The 17,185-nt window shown below is 40.0% G+C and overlaps 1 protein-coding gene across 26 annotated transcripts in view, besides 2 other annotated features; it reads right to left on the reverse strand.

Annotated features, from left to right (window-relative positions):
* Nucleotides 1-15,455, reverse strand: part of NARS2 (asparaginyl-tRNA synthetase 2, mitochondrial) — a 138,897-nt gene extending 123,442 nt beyond the window's left edge. For 17 of the 26 annotated variants that reach the window (NR_189156.1, NR_189154.1, NR_189157.1 and 14 more), the window contains exons 1-5: nt 14,939-15,455; nt 11,926-12,035; nt 9,223-9,343; nt 6,723-6,863; nt 130-210 (exon numbers count right to left, since the gene is read on the reverse strand). Coding sequence is in view for 17 of the 26 variants with exons in the window: in NM_001425307.1 (NP_001412236.1) it covers nt 130-210; nt 6,723-6,863; nt 9,223-9,343; nt 11,926-12,035; nt 14,939-15,079 (594 nt within the window). In the remaining 9 variants the exon portion in view is untranslated. Of the gene's footprint in view, nt 1-129; nt 211-6,722; nt 6,864-9,222; nt 9,344-11,925; nt 12,036-13,856; nt 14,120-14,938 lie in introns of all 26 variants that reach the window. The other 9 variants (NR_189155.1, NM_001425314.1, NM_001243251.2 and 6 more) reach the window with 4 other exon arrangements.
* Nucleotides 14,841-14,950: an enhancer, noted in NCBI's record as "active region_5327". NCBI's record gives its function as "activates an Ori minimal core promoter by ATAC-STARR-seq in GM12878 lymphoblastoid cells {active_cell/tissue: GM12878}" and the evidence as "EXISTENCE:reporter gene assay evidence [ECO:0000049][PMID:35858748]".
* Nucleotides 15,611-15,750: an enhancer, noted in NCBI's record as "active region_5328". NCBI's record gives its function as "activates an Ori minimal core promoter by ATAC-STARR-seq in GM12878 lymphoblastoid cells {active_cell/tissue: GM12878}" and the evidence as "EXISTENCE:reporter gene assay evidence [ECO:0000049][PMID:35858748]".

The raw sequence follows: 17,185 nt of genomic DNA on the forward strand, positions 1-17,185 counted from the left end.
AGGATTTTTATTGACAATTTCAGGTGCTGCTCATAGTCTTCTGTCCACAAAACTATTATTAAATTTCAAACCCTCAAATGAAAAATATTAAACAGCAATGTACCCCTCAAGATGGGAAGCAAAACTTACTTCAAGTTGAAAAAGTTCTCCAGCTCCCTCAGAGTCATTGGATGTGATTATTGGAGTATGAATATGTACAAAGCCACTGTCCTGAAAAAGAAAACCACTGTTTTCAGGATATTTGCACATTCAACAATTCCAAGAACACACATCCTCTTATAGTATTAAAATGGCACACTAAGCAGATGCTGTATCAAATCCCTCCCTAATCCCCTAAATATTAAGACTACTGAAAATCAGTTGAGTGTTTTAACTACCCACAGGGGCACAAATAATTTTAATTCAGGAACACACTTAGACATTAACTAGTCCAACATCTTCATTTCAAAGATAAGGAAGTTAAGGCCCAGACAGATTTAGTGACTTTCCACAAGTTACACAATTAGTCAGTGGCTGAGCCAGGACTAGAACCTAGGTCTTCATGCTCTCTCTTTAGTACTATATTCTCTTCCCATTTCTCTAACATTTTGGTGGTGATTTAACAAACACATACGCACACTATAGGCTAATGCATAATGATGCTGCCCACGTTGCTAGAGGAATACAAAGCGATCAGTATAAACTTATCTTGAAATATGACCTCAATTGTAATGAACCACCAAAAAAGGAGAAAAAGTAGACAAATAGAGACTGAATAAACAAACAGCAAAAAAAGGCAGAAATGATCTTTAGGAGGTCTCTGTCATTAAACTGATGGCACAATGGACTCCACATGGCACAGGCAGTGTACTTCCTTTGCCTGAAGGAATATTCTGAGCAGCAGCAAATCCATCCATTACCGAGGTCCCCAAATGGAGCTCTTCCGAACAAAAGTCTGAGACTATTTCCATTAGTGAACCACAAAAGCTGTTGCTAGTCAGCAACTTCAAGGTTATGCTTCTTTCATTTTGACTATGGATGTAAGCAAAAGGTTACACACAATGTAGATGTTTGCAGGGTGGGACTGCAGGTAACGAAAAGTGAATTTATAATAGAAATGTAGGATAGTACATGCTTAATGCAAAATTTTGGTCTTGGAATCAATACAATAAATTCTTAAATACATATCTCTGCCAAGTTTGGTGGAGTGTAGATTGTCTCTATGCATTACTAGGGACCTCCCGAATATGATCCTTCTCAAATTCAAGTATTCTGGCTATAATACAAAGTATTCAGTCAACAACTTGCCTTATGATGTGGACTGATTAAATATTCAAGCTCTAAATTAGCAGTCTCAGAAAGTATTAAAATGTACACTTAATCTGACAGCAACATGCCCAGAGGTGCTGCACAGAGCACATTATAGAAAACCAATAAAATCTGATCAATAACATTACTGCATAAAATTTTTATCTCCTAGGAGCCAAGAATCATGGACATGAAACATTTCTTCCACATGAACGTAGGCAACTATGAACATGAGTGCAGTAAACAAAGAAAGGAAGTGAAAAATCCAAAGGAAACGAGGGTGGGGAAGGGGAGGTGGAGAGGGAGGAGAAAATTTAACGGCTAAACATGATTGCCCAAGTTAGAACTGGTCAAATGCCACAAGAAACAGCACTGTAAATCTTAGGAAAATAACTGAGATTTTTTTTTAAATCACACACCTAGTGGGAATTATTTTTAATACTTAACTAATGCTAAACATTACAAAAGGGCCCAGCAGCTTTCGCTGCTTTAAAACTGCTAGCAAGGCTTATCAAAGTTCCTAACGTTACCAAATGCTAATAAAGGAGAGAGTACAAAGGAAGAATAATACAGCCGTGCAAACAAAGTCCAAAAAAGTGAAAGCGGGTGGGGGAGTAAAAAGAATAAAAGGAAAGTAAATAGCAAGGAGTGGTTAAGTATTGTCAGTATGTGCCTCAAATAGGTTTCCAGTGTCACTTATTTATACTGTCCCGCAGCAAAGGGGCTCCTAAGTAGAAACATGAAGGCCAGAAAAGAGGCCAAAAATAAAAGCAACCACTTTCACCCAATTTTTCAGATTCCACCCATCACCTCCAAGTATTTAAATATTTTAATACACATTCTAAAACCAGATATTTTATAAGGCTCTGAGTATCCCAAAATTATAAAGTTCATACATTACGGCCCATACACATCAGTAAGAGAAGACTAATAGATTATCTTTTTCTTTCACGTGAAACTGAAATAACTATTATTTAATCAGAATCAACAAAAAAGGAAACGTGAAAGGAATTGCTAGCCACAGGCAGGCCATAGACAACATAAAGTGACAGCAAGAACAGATTTTAAAATTCCATAAAGAGGCCAGGAGCAGTGTCTCACGCCTGTAATCCCAGCACTTTGGGAGGCTGAGGCGGGTGAATCACCTGAGGTCAGGAGTTTGAGACTAGCCTGACCAACATGGTAAAACCCAGTTTCTACTAAAAAATACAAAAATTAGCCCGGTGTGGTAGTGCACACCTGTAGTCCCAGATACTCAGGAGGCTGAGGCAGAGGTTGCAGTGAGCCGAGATCACGCCACTGTGCTCTAGCCTGGGTGACACGGCGAGACTCTGTCAAAAAACAAAAAACAAAAAACAAAAAACAAAAAACATAAACAGCAGTCACAGGAACTCAAAGGCATAGCAATTTGGAGACATTCTACACAAAGGTAAAGAATACTCCACATAGGCTGGGGCACAGTGGCTCATATCTGGACCCTAGCACTTTGGTTGGTCCAGGCAGGATTGCTTGGGCCTAGGAGTTCAAGACCAGCTTAGGCAACACAGTGAGATCCCATCTCTACAAAAAATACATTAAAAAAAACGAGCCAGGCACAGTGGTGCATGCCTATAGTCCCAGCTACTTGGGAGGCTGAGGTAGGAGGATCAATTGGGCCTGGGGGATTAAGGTGGCAGTAAGCCATGACTGCACCACTGCACTCCAGCCCGGACAACAGTATGAGACTTCATCTCAAAACAACAACAACAAAAATACTTCACATAGTCAGTGGCAGGCTTTGAAAACGCTGCCATACAGAGAAGAACAATCCCTGATACTCACAGGAAGAACCTCGACTCACTGAGAAAGAAAGAGCAGAATCTTTTCTACTGGCTCACTGAGGAAGAGGGGAAAGTAAGTAATTCATTTTAGGAACACTTCCACTGGAATTTAGAAAAAATTGGTGCCTAAAGAGAAAATTCCTCAGTTATTTCAGAAACTTGGCTTTACTGAATGACTCATTCCTTGAGGATTCTAAATAGCCAAGTTTTAGTACATAACAAGTATGTCAGTTTTATGAGCAAACAAGGTTATACAAAAAATATTTTTCATACTCAAACCAAGAAATAACCTTAGATCCTTAAAGTGTCTTAAAAGTACTGTTCAAGTTTCCATTTTTCCCCCACATTTCTATATTTTAATTAACAAAACTGAAACTTACGAAAATTTTTTATTTGGAGGCTTAACATCTTTTAGCAAACCCAAAGTAACAGATCAAAGAAACACTACAAAATACTAGGTAACATATAACTATTACTTAATATGCCTTATAGTACTACAGAAAGGGTTCTTTAAACAACTAATCCTAAGTATCACACATAAAGGTAGATAACTATCACACATAAAGGTAGGTAACAGAATTATATTCTCCAGGTCTTTACAAATACTAAGTGAATTTATTACTACTCAAAAAGTGTCTATTTTTGTAACTACTCTATCACGAATGGTGCTAAAATTCAAGTTATTTCCAACCACTTGAATTTTTTTTTTTTTTTTTTTTTGAGACAGAGTCTTACTCTGTCGCCAGGTTGGAGTGCAGTGGCGCAATCTCGGTTCACTGCAACCTCCGCCTCCCGGATTCAAGTGATTCTCCTGCCTCAACCTCCCAAGTAGCTGGGACTACAGGCACGCAACACCACGCCCAGCTAATTTTTGTATTTTTAGTAGACACGGGGTATCACCATGTTGGCCAGGATGGTCTCGATCTCTTGACCTCGTGATCTGCCTGCCTCGGCCTCCCAAAGTGCTGAGATTTCAGGAGTGAGCCACAGCGCCCGGCCATGAATGTTTTTCAAATTTCATTTTAGTAATTTTTGGCCAGGGTTGGTGGCTCACGCCCGCAATCCCAGCACTTTGGGAGGCTGAGGTGGTTGGATCACCTGAGGTCAGGAGTTAGACCAGCCTGGCCAACATAGTGAAACCCCGTCTCTACTAAAAATACAAAAATTAGCTGGGTGTGGTGGCACGCACCTGTAGTCCTAGCTACCTGGGAGGTTGTGGGAGGAGAATCCCTTGAACCCAGGAGGCGGAGGTTGCAGTGAGCCAAGATCATGCCACTGCACTCCAGCCTGGGCAACAGAGTGAACTCTGTATCAAAAAAAAAAAAAAAAAAAAAAATATATATATATATATATGTATACACACACACAGTATTATTATTATTATTATTATTATTATTATTATTGAGATGGAATCTCGCTCTGTTGCCCAGGCTGGAGTGCAGTGGCGCAGTCTCTACTCACTGCAACCTCCGCCTCCCGGGTTCAAGCAATTCTACCTCAGCCTCCCGAGTAGCTGGAACTACAGGCACACGCCACCATACCCAGCTAATTTTTTTGTATTTTAGTAAAGACAGGGTTTCACCGTGTTGCCAGGGCTGGTCTTGAACTCCTGAACTCAGGCAATCCGCCTGCCTTGGCCTCCCAAAGTGCTAGGATTACAGGTGTGAGCCACTGTGCCCAGTAATAATAATATTTTTAAGACAGGATCTCACTCTCCTGCCCAGGCTGGAGTTCAGTGGCACAAACACGGATCACTGCAGCCTCCACCTCCTGGGCTCAAGTGATCCTCCTGCCTCAGCTTCCTGAGTAGGTGGGACTATAGGCACATGCCACCATGCCTGGCTAATTATTTTTACTAGAGACCAAGTCTCACTATGTTGCCTAGGCTGGTCTCCAACTCCTGGGCTCAAAAGATCCTCCTGCCTCAGCCTCCCCAAGTGCTGGGATTACAGATGTGAACCACTGCACCCTGACTACTTTATTTTTTTATTTCAATTTTTTTTTAGCTTGTCTTACTTTTTAATTGTTTACATATCTCTAAAAGTTTCAAGTAATCAATGTATAGTGTAGTCTACTTGTCAATACCACCACCTAGTGGCCAAAAGCCTACAAAACCTTCAGAACTAATAATTTATCAGCTGTTGAAGCCATGTGGTTAAAAAACAAAAAGGTATTTTTACAATTGTGTGGTTCAAGCAGTACTGAAAATCCACATGGAAGCTGCATAGCAAAGTTTCTGACAGCATGTGTAACTGGACCCCTACAAACTATAATGGGATAACATTATATAATTTGATTTATTTTCCTTTGTCTTATCAAAAGCATATGCCTTAAAGCCATGATGTTCTTTAGCTCTTTGACCAAAAGTGAATCTGAAGGAGCTTTTTCAAGGGGCAAGAACCTTCTTGGTGAGACTGGGGCTGTGTGAATTTGGATACAGCCCAAGGGAAGTCTATAACCACTATTACACAACCTCTGCAAATTAGGTGGATCTGGAGAAGTACCACAGGAAGCCTCACAAAACCACGTGGAATAACAATAAACTTTATCTGCTGGATCACTCCTTGTCTTTGGGGCCCTCCCATCCACAGGGAGAGAAGGTCCCTTCACCTTAGCAACTTGTCAACCACATTAAACTGTGGCTTTCCCAGGTAGAGGGAAATGGTTGAGAAGCAAAGCTAAATGAGACAAAATGTCCTTAGTCATTAGATAGACCTACTTGATCAACACCAGTAACTCTTTAAAATTAGTGCTTACTTTACACAAAATATAGATCTATGACCAAGATGGAGAAACAGGAAACCAAAAACACTGTAAAACAACAACAAAAACAGTAACAATAAAAAGCAAACCTCATGAAACAATAGTTTTCAAGACAACAACAAAAGCCATCTCTCTCTGAGATGGGAAACAAACATGGTAAACCCCTACCAGTAGACCAGCTTACTACCTTGAGATCTTTCAGGCCACAGCACAGGGAAGGGGAAAAAGTAAGGTAGAGCCCAGCAGACTCCCTGAGTTGAAGAGACACAACTCAGAGTCTGGAGAGACCCAAGTGGCTAGAGTTCATACGCTAGAATATCAGAGAGAGAGCTGCAGAGGGCCACCTTGCAGTATTAGGTAGATCAGTGCATTTGTGTGAGGAAACTATCCAATGCTAGGGAAAGAACCATCTAAAAAGATTAGAGAAAACAGTGCCCAGTGCTCACATGCTGGCTGGAAACAATACCTGTTCCACAAACTAGAAAAACTCATCATTCTCAAGGCTGTAGGTCGGGACCTGAGGAAGGCTTTGCCTCAGTGAGGAATAAATAGTACTAGACTGAGCACTGCTACAGACCTGCTTAACAAATCACATAAGCAAGACCTCAAAGGATCAAAGCGATATCAATAGCTGTGTGCAAACCCACAACACCCAACAAGGTAAAATTCACAATGTCTGGCACCCAAAGCTAGGTCATGTAGAGTCAAGAAACCATAACCCATAATGAAGAGACCAATCAAAACTAACCCATAACTAACAGACATGTTAACATCAGGAGAAAAAGACACAACTGTTTTTAAACAGTTATTAAAACTGTTTAAAGGGTCAAGAGGGAACTTTTAGGATCTTACCTTAAAGAAAGAATGAATAGCAGCTGTCGCTTCACTGCGAATCCTCAATATAGAACCCAGAACGTTAGTCCTACACCTAAAGTGAGGATATTGTCGCAGATACTCCAGAGGATGCCTCTCTTTATATTTGATGGGGAAATCCTGCCAATAAATGAAAAGAACAAATTAGAAGTCAAAAGAGATACTGTTTAATAAAATCAGTTTCCAGGGTATTTCTTAAATAGCGCTTTGGAACCAAACTAAGATCCTTTCCTTCTTTATTTCTTAATATAACTGATTTTAATCCACATTATTTCCACCAGGTAAGTGGAATGGTAGGACGGAATCAGAGACATGTAGGTTTGAATCTAGCTCAACTACTTATTAGCCAAGTAACTGAGCTAATATCACTGAAGCTCATCTGTTATTTATCAAGTTTGTATCCATTAGCTGTGAACCACTTCCTACAAATAGGTTAGGATTAATTATGCAAAATATCCACTGTTTGGCACACAGGAGTTCAAAATATTGTAGATATTAAAGATGTACACACAAGGCTGGTGTTCAATTTTAAAATTACCTATATGTCTTGAAAGCCCATATCATTCATAATCAATTGGTGCAATTCATTACTATTATCAACGTGCTACTTCCATCTAGCAGAGTAGTAAAGATTTACAAAAAATTTGAAAGAAAATTATGGCTCCACATTGAAATATGTCTACACTGCTCACATTCATGTTACAAGATTAAGACAGACACATCCTTTCAGACAAAAATCAAAGTTTTAATTAAAAAGATAACAGAGAAGCTAAAAAAGAGCTACACTGGCAGCCTGTTTCTTTCAGTCTCATCCATTCTAAGTCTTGTACAAATACAAACTTTTATGTCGTATAGAAACAAGCACTATACTTACTAAAAGTGAAAATGTGACCATATCATAATTCTAGGGGTCAGAATTCCCTAATGTTGGAATACTTCAAAATGATACTGAATCAGAGGGCTTCAGGGAAGATGAAGCCATCAACACCAACAGAAGCCAAGGAAGAACAATTTAAGAATATAGTAGTCCCCCACTTACCCACAGGGGATATGTTCCAAGACCCCCAGTGGACGCCTAAAACCACGGACAGTATCAAACCATATAAACATTATGTTTTTTCTTCCACAACAATGGCCAGGTAGTGTATAAAGTACAGATAAGCAGGACAAAAGGATGATTCACATTCTAGGCAGGATGGAGCAGGACGGCTCAAGATTCCATGACACAATGAGAATGGCATGCAATTTAAAATTTAAGAATTATTTCTAGAATTTTCCATGTAGTATTTTGAGACCATAGTTCACCGTGGGCAACAAACCGTGAAAAGCAAAACCACAGACAAGGTTGAACTACTACAGTGAAACACACGGCAAATTTTTAGTAATCACAGATCCCTCTAAAAAAAACAAAAAGAAAAATGGTTACCGTCTATATTACGCTCTTGATTTCCAAATTATTCTACACTCTATTTCTCAGAAATCTTAGAACCTGATTTCTGATTTTACATCAATTAGAATTTCTTGGAAATTAAGGATGACATTTTAATAAAAATTGCATTTTCTTCTTTTATTTCCTTACATTTCTTCCTATTATACTGAAAGAATACACAATGAATTAAAATGATGCAATTTTCCTATATTTCCTCATTTTTGTTCATTAAATATTTGAAGACAGGTGTAGCAAAAACACAGAGGATTCAAATGGCTAGAATATAAATTTCAGCTGTGCCACATCAGCTCATAATGTTAAGCAAATCACTTCATCTGGCTGGGCCTCATTTTCTCCACTGTAAATTTAAAGAATTTCATTAATAATCTTTTATTCTCTCTAACCTCTTTATCAAGCTTATATATATGAAGCTAACAGAAGAGTCTTGCAAAAACAGGCATAAACATGTCTTAATACAGAATTTCTTGCCTCTATTCGGCCTAAGCCTTACAATACTACTGATCGGCATCACCCAACAGAACTTTCTGTGATAAATGGAAATATTCTGTGCTATCCAATATAGTAGCCAGTAGCCACATGCAACTACTGAGCACTTGAAATGTGGGTAATGCCACTGAGGAACTGGATTTTTTTAATGAATTTTAATGGATTTAATACCAAACAGCCAAAGGTGGCTAGAGCCTACCATTATTGGATGATCGGTTCTACATCATGCAAAAGTCATTCTTGGCTTTCCTAAGAATGAGCCCACCCTGGTATATCATGGTGGCTGACTGGGCATGCTTGTAAAAGCAGCAAGTTTTAACTGTGACACACACCACAGAGATGCAAAAATCAACACTTACCTCTCACTAAGCTATGTACATAAATAATTTTTGCTACTGCCTCTACAGGTCATATGGCTTGTTTCAATTATCTGTCACAAATGAAATATATTCTAAGTTTCATCTTCCTAATAATCACACTTAAAACAGATTGCTGTCTTAATTAAAGCCTAAACAGCCTCCACAAAAGTGTCAGAAATCATACCTTGGCATCACAATTTCCAATAACTTTAATTTTTTCTGCCTTCAGTTCCACATTTTGCCTTTTGGATGGACTTTTTATCAGCTGCCCTTGTACTTCCACAGAACTCCCAAAATTTAATTCTCTATAGTAACAAAAAACAAGATAAACAAGATATCATTATATACAACCTTCATTTTAATATCAACTTTGCAATAAGAATATTAAAATACTTAATGACAAAAGCTTTTACCCTTATTGGGTTAAATAATCTTCAGAATCTATGGATAATCTGTCGTATAAATAGAGCATAAAGTTATAAAATGAATTCCATAAGCTTTAAAATGGGAATAGAGTTAAGAATTTGTATAATTAATTCAGAATTAAGAGGTTGTACAATTGCCCTTATTAAAAAGTTAGTTGGCCAAAACACTTTTTAAAAGATTACAGAATACATGGGAAAACTGCAAATCAAAATAAAATTTGCCGGGAATTCTCTGTCCTATTTTTGCAATTAAAAAAAAATTTTTTTTTACTTAGTTGACTGGTGATCTAAGCACATAAGGTGCTACTTTCTAGTTAATAAGACTAGGTTCGAGTTCAAGTTCTCCCATAGATTAACTGTATGACAACTATGGAAAGTCATCTAAGCTCATTTAAGAATCATCTATCAAAAAAGGAGCTGGTAAATGATAGTACATCTGTTCTAATTCTTTTTTCTTTTCTTTAAAGAGACCAGGTCTCACCATGCTGTCAAGGCTGGTCTCGAACACCTGGGCTCAAGCAATCCTCCTGCCTTGGCCTCCCAAAGTGCTGGGATTAGAGGCATGAGCCACCACGCCCAGCCCATCTGTTCTAGTTCTAACATTTCATAATTACAGTAAGTATGACAATAAGTGCCTTCCTAATAAACTATTGAAATATTGTAATATAGCAATACAATAAATTTTATTGAAGTAAATAAGTCAGGAGATTCTCCATCCAGTTTTGTTTGCTTGCTAAATATATGCTATTCTTATATAATTTATATAAATAAGATTGTCCACTATTGCATTATGGGTGGGGAAATCTGGTATACTTTCATCAACCTGAGAGGGTAATTTGAGATGCTCTGACTTAAAATATGTACTACCTGACATATATGAATATAAGTATATCCTAAGGTTTCCTGGGAATATCTCAAAGAGACAGTCATCCTACAGAAATCTAAAATCTAGGTCCCATTAGACCCATGTGATTGCTATACTGATATAATCAAAACAATTACAAAGTTGTTTAAAAGGTTACCATTAATATTAGGGCCAGGTGTGGTGGCTCATGCCTGTAATCCCAGCACCTTGGGAGGCTGAGGCAGGCAGATCACTTGAGGTCAGGAGTTCGAGACCAGCCTGGCCAACATGGTAAAATTCTGTCTCTACTAAAAATACAAAAAATTAGTCCAGTGTGGTGTCGCACACCTGTAATCCCAACTACTTGGGAGACTGAGGCACGAGAATTGCCCGAACTCATGAGGCAGAGGTTGCAGTGAACCGAGATCATGCCACTACATTCCAGCCTGAGCGACAGAGTCAGACTCTCTCCAGGAAAAAAAAAAGTTACTATTACATCAGAACAATTTTTTTTTGTTCTGCCCAGTTAACCACATAGTCTCTGATCCATGAACCTATTCAATGTGTAAACAGCATTAACCCTAACAATCCCCGGAATAGCAAAGCACTCTAACAAATTAGAATAATGTTCTCTTCCTCAGAGCTGATACCTAACATTAAAATGGTGTTAGTTTTTGGTTTGGGGGGTTTTTTGGAGACAGGGCTCTATCACACAGGCTGGACTGCAGTGGCAAGATCTTGGCTCACCACAGCCTTGACCTCCAGGGCTCAAGAGATGCTCTAGCCTCAACCGCCCGAGTAGTGGAGATTATTGGTGCACATCACCATGACAAACTCATTTTTATATTTTTGGTAGAGACGGGGTTTTAATATATCTAGACTGGTCTTAACTTGACTCAAGTGATCCGTCTGTCTCGGCCTCCCAAAGTGCTAGGACTACAGGCGTGAGCCACCACGCCTGACCTAGTGTTAGTTTTAAAACCTGATGAATGAGACCATAAAGTTTCTTCCATTTATTCAACAGGCAATAATTTGTCATATTGTCAGCACTATGCTAGAGGCCAAGAATACAAAAAAGAGTGAGATGCCATTCCTAACCTCAGGAAATTAAGAGTCTAGCAGGAGGATTCAAATAGGAATACAGTTGATTACCATTCAATGTGATACATTTTAAGACAGATGTAGGCACGGGACACTATGGGAGCACAAAAAAGGGGTACCTGACATAATCATGGGATGGGAACATCAGATGATGCCTAACTAAGCAGGAACTATGAAAGACAAGAGGAGAAGAGGCTGTATTGGGCAGAGGCAGCAACATGTACAAATGCTATTAGGAAAGAGCAGAACAGCTTAAGGGAGCCGCAGGTAATTAAGAAAGACTGAAGTGAAGCATAAGTAGGGGATATCAGCATGTGACAATGTCAAATAGAGGAGGAAAGGCCTGAGCTTGAAGGATCTTGATTCCAAATATTCGGAGTTGATCCTCAAAGCTATTAAAGCAGATCTGTTTCAAAAGATTACTCAGGGGTCCAACGTAAACACTGGAGTAGGGAAGTGAGAAGCACTAGAGGTGAAAAACAAAAATCAAAGAATTCTTTTAAAAAACAAAACTCACCTACTGTCAAGGCCTGAATCTGCAACAACCTGAAGGCTTTCCAAAGATGACCCATCATTTACATGCAGGAACAAGACTTCCTTCTGGGATCGGACAGAACGAATCCATCCCTAAGGAAGAGAAATATTTCCAATGTGAGCGTAAAACATTTTACGTTTTCATTACACATACACACACAGACTAAATGAAAGTAAAACATGTACTCACAATCCTGCCTCAACAAATCAACTTCTTTTAGTTCACCAATATGCATACTTAATTTTATATGTTCCAATCACAATAGGATACACACTTTGGTATTCTATCTTTTGTTTTCGTAATAATGCACAACATTTCGAATGGATGCCTAACATTCCTTCATGTTGATGAGCCTAATTCATATAATCAATCCTCCCAATATTGGCAATTCCAGGTATTTCCTCCCAGAGCCCTGCCCTCTGGCCCAACAATAAATAACAGGGCACATATCTTGGTGCCTTTCTCAGGATGTGGGGTGCGCCCTTCTTTCTGGTTTCATCTCACTGCGCTGCCCAGAAGGCATCTCCTCTTTGGTGATTCTAAATCAACAGTAATTTCCAGGTTGGGCACAGAAATCTCAGCACTTTGGGAGGCCGAGAAGGACGGATCACTTGAGGTCGGGAGTTTGAGACCAGCCTGGCCAACATGGTGAAACCCTGTCTCTACCGAAAATACAAAAATTAGCCGGGAGTGTTGGCGCTCGTTTGTAGTCCCAGTTACTGGGGAGGCTGAGGCAGGAGAATCGCTTGAACCCACGAGGCGGAGGTTGCAGTGAGCCAAGATCGCGCCAGTGCACTCCAGCCTGGGTGACAGAGCAAGACTCCATCTCAAAAAAACAAAAAAACACAAAAACTAATTTCCAAACGACTACTTTCTTACTTTCACTTGTTAAAGTTAACATTTATTGAGCACTTTGTAATGTGCTTCTATTCTAACCTCTTTATAAATATTATGCTACTTAATCATCAGAAAAACTTAACGAAGTGGTTATCATTTTAGAGCTGATGAAACATTATTTAGAGATGTCACGATAACCTCTCTAAATAGTCCAGGACATAGTCACCGATTAGTAGAGTTGAGATTCAAAAGGAATTTCTTACTTCAAAGTTCATGTTCTTATCAACGAGCTTTTCTGGGATGCTATTATAATTCTGCCCCATCCCCAGCTCCTCTGCCTAGGGAACACATCTTTCAGGACTTGGCTGAAATATCACCTCATGCAAGATATCTTCCTTAACCTTCTCAGTTACGTAACTTCCTGTTTTCTTATAGTTCTTTACTTACCTTACTACCAACTATCCTATTGCTAAAATTATTTGTTTTAACCATTGGAGCAGGGCTGTCCAACAGAAACATAATGTGAGTCACATGTTTAATTTAAAATTTCTTTTTGTGGCCACGTTAAACATAAAAATAGATGAAATATTTCACTTTAACCTATTATGCCCCAAATATTATCAACATATAATCAATATAAAAACATATTGAGATATTTTGCATTCTTTTTGGTTCTTCAAAATTGGTATGTATTTTACACTTATAGCACATCTCAATTTGGACCAGACAAAGTTCAAGTGCTCAGAGCCAAAAGTGGCTGGTAGCTACCATATCAGACCTCACAGGACTAAACTGAAATCCTCTAACCTGGGCAGCAGGTTCTCTTTTCATCTTTGAATTTTCTCTTGACTAGCACACAAAGTATCATTAATGTATACCCAATCAATAGACCAACAGACCTATGGAAAGAATATGGAACTCAAAGAGGAGCAGATTGGTCATACCGCTAAAAAGTAAAGGATATGTGAGGACAACAGAAATCACTGCAACGGCAAGCCATGACTGTGTCAGTACAATCATGGGTGACAAAGCAAGAACCTACTCAAAAAATAAGTATTTATTATAACAACATCTACCAGGCTTATGCCTGTAATCCCAGCATTTTGGGATGCCGAAGGAGGAGGACTGCTTGAGTCCAGGAGTTTGAGACCAGCCTGGGCAATACAGTGAGACTCATCTTCACAAAAAACTTAAAAAATTATAGAGTGTGGTGGTGCATGCCTATAGTTTCAGCTACTCTGGAGGCCGAGGCAGGAGGATTGCTTGAGCCTGGGAGATGGAGGTTGTAGTCATCTGAGATCACATCACTGCGCTCCAGTCTGGGTGACAGAGCTAGACCCTGTCTCAAAAAATAAATAACCACATCAGTGTACTTCAGCAACCTAATAAGAAACAGTCAAACACCTTGTTTATTCTGCACCTCTTCTATGTGGAGCTGCTGCAAATAATATAATCAGCAAGAGAAACAATAGCAGCTAACATTTGTAGACTATGAGCCACTGTTCTAAATATCTTACTTCCATTACCTCATTTAATTTTCAGGACTCAGGGACAATTATTATCTCTTTCCATAAGAGGAAAATAAGGTGTAGAACGCATAAACGCTATGCAGAGATTTAAACCTAAGCAGCTTAACTCCAGAGCTCTTTCAAACTGCTACATTCCAGTCTTTCTCCGAATTCATTAAAAATAAATTACATGCAGACCCCCACAATAGGCACTGAGGTCGCTAAAAGTTTAAAAGGCATGGTTTGAACAAGTATTTGCTGTCAGCCATGTGTGAATACAAAGGCAGGTAAGACACGGTTTCTGCTCTCAAGGAGGGAGGTCAAGACAACCACTTTATAAACCTGGATATTCATTATAAGGGATAAAGATAGAGAAAGGGGGCTTGTTCATTTACACTTTTGGTATGATTAACAAGTTTACAGGTAATACCCTGGAATCATGAAAGCAAAGTTCCAGCGCTTTACAGTTATCGGAACAGTTTTGTGAAAAGTAATGGAAATCAGAAAAGTGCAAACCCGCGACGCCTACACTTTCTAACTTTTCCCTGCTGGCGGTTGTGTCTGACCCGACTGTAAAAGAAAAGCTAGATGTGGATGTGCCATATAAAAGTCCCTACAAGAAAAAACCCACTCCCTTCCCATTCACCAACCTGGATCTTAATGCGCTCCCCACTCGCGTTCTGAGCCCCGAGAGCGTCCCGCACGCTCAGTTTGGCTGAAGGTTTGTGCTTGGGGAAGGGGGCGGAGGAACAGAAGCGCACGGACCGCAGCAGGCAGCGGACCCCCAGCATCCCGCGTCCGCCCAGGCCCTCCGCGGGAGCAGCCCAGACCCCACGGTTCGAACCCCGCCTGCAGCGGCCCTCCTTTCTCAGCTGCTCCCCTTCCGCGGCCGCAGCTCTGCTCTAAGGCACTCCAGAGCCCCTCGGCTGCGCGCTTTCTCCTTCAGGACTCCCAGCTCTGTCCCCACAGAACCTCTCCGCTTCCCACTTCCCAACGGGGCGGAATGGACAGGACACTAGGCAAACGCCAGAAAGAAACCACGTGCAGTTGGCAGCTGGGGCGCCCCACTACCCGCGACAATTGTAAACCTACGAACAGAACCCGGGCCGCAACACGCGCAACCACTCCTACCACACCACGCCAACGCCGCTTACGTCATCACGCTACGGGGAAGAAGGGAGAGCATGCGTACTTGTGACCCAGGCTTAGGGAGGCGTGCGGGAGGGGGCGGGGTCAGGAGCCGAGACGGGGCGGAGCTAATGCCCTAAGGTTGTAGAGATTATCGCTGAAAGAACGTGGGAGCACATCTGAGGGTCTTCATTTCTAAAGTTTCCAGGTGAGGCTGAGAAACTGAGAGGCAAGGAGTGACTGATGGAGAGGGAAACCGTCTCCATCAGTCAACAATAGGGATCCAAGTAAGAGGAGGCTCTTAGCTGTTAACAGGATTCGCTTGAAGAGATCAGTCGTTCCTTTCCTGAGTACTCCGCAGAGAAAAATCAGACATAGCCCCAATGCGCAAGTCACAGTTGTGTGGTATCAGACAGCTAAACAGACAGTTGCATAAAAGGGCGATCAGTTTGCCTGACAGAGCCTAAGCGTGGGACGCCAGAGATGGCTTCCTGGAGAAAGTAGTCCTCTGACAGGTAAATAAAAGGAACTGGAGGGACCTTGCATATGGCAGGCAAGACGGTGGGAAGATGTTGCAGAGACTGGAGGAAACTCGAGTGTTTCCTGCCAGAATCCTCCAAGTCTCCCTCTTCCCTCTGCCCTCCAACACAGCTATCTGCATTTGTTTGACCTGGAAACAATGACCCTTTTATATATTAGGCTACGTTTTATTAAAAAAAAAATTCTGTAACTCAATGACGGTCATTAAAAGGTTTTTAATCTAATTTAAAAAGTAAAACGTTTGGCCAAGTGCGGTGGCTCACGCCTGTAATCCCAACTCTTAGGGAGGCAGAAGCAGGAGGATTGCTTCAGCCCAGGAGTTCAAGACCAGCGCTCGCCCTCGCTGTCTCTCTCCCGCTCCCTCTCACTCTCACTCTCTCTCTCTCACTTTTACCTTACTTAAAGTTGCTACTATTATTATACCCATTTTACAAATGAGAGAACTTACGCACAGAAAGGCTAGATGACCTACTTAAGGATACACATTCCCTAAGTGTGAGATTTAAACCCAGAAGTGCTGGCTCTATGCACTTAAGCAGTATGCTGTATTACATAGTGTCCCAAGGTGATCTGTTCCATCAAGGAGCTCATGCTTTAGAGATGGAGACAAGCAAGAAAAGAGACTACTGAAATATAAACCAGTAAGTGCACACATAGATGTATGAGTTGTCTGCATTTGTTTGGACTGAAAAGTCACCCTTATATATTAGGCTACCTCTTAAATTTATCCAAAAAATTATTTTTGATATTTTATCCAAATATTATATTGGATAAAATATAATACAATTATAATATATACATGTATCACAATTTTATATTTTATATAATATAAATGTGTTCCCTGGTTCTTTTAATAAATTAAAATTATAAATATAATAAAATTATAATTATAAATTATAATATATAATTAAATTATATTGGATATATTATATATTATATACTTATAATATAAAATATGTTGGATAAAATATAATATAGTCTAGAGAAGGAGAAAATTAAGCTGAATTTTTGAAGTGGATCAATATTTTGCCAGGTAGGCATGTAAGAAAATTTCCTGCCAGAAGGTGAACACGGAAGGTTGCCAGGAGGGCAAATGGCCTGGAAAAATTGTAAAATCATTCTTAAGACAGGCTAGAAAATATCTCATCTGAAAATACTTGATGTTGGAGGTGGAACCTAGTGAGAAGTGTTTGGATCATGAAGGCCTTGGTGCCACCCTTGCAGGAGTG

Source organism: Homo sapiens, chromosome 11 (genome assembly GCF_000001405.40).
Source record: "Homo sapiens chromosome 11, GRCh38.p14 Primary Assembly".
NCBI classification, from domain to species: domain Eukaryota; kingdom Metazoa; phylum Chordata; class Mammalia; order Primates; family Hominidae; genus Homo; species Homo sapiens.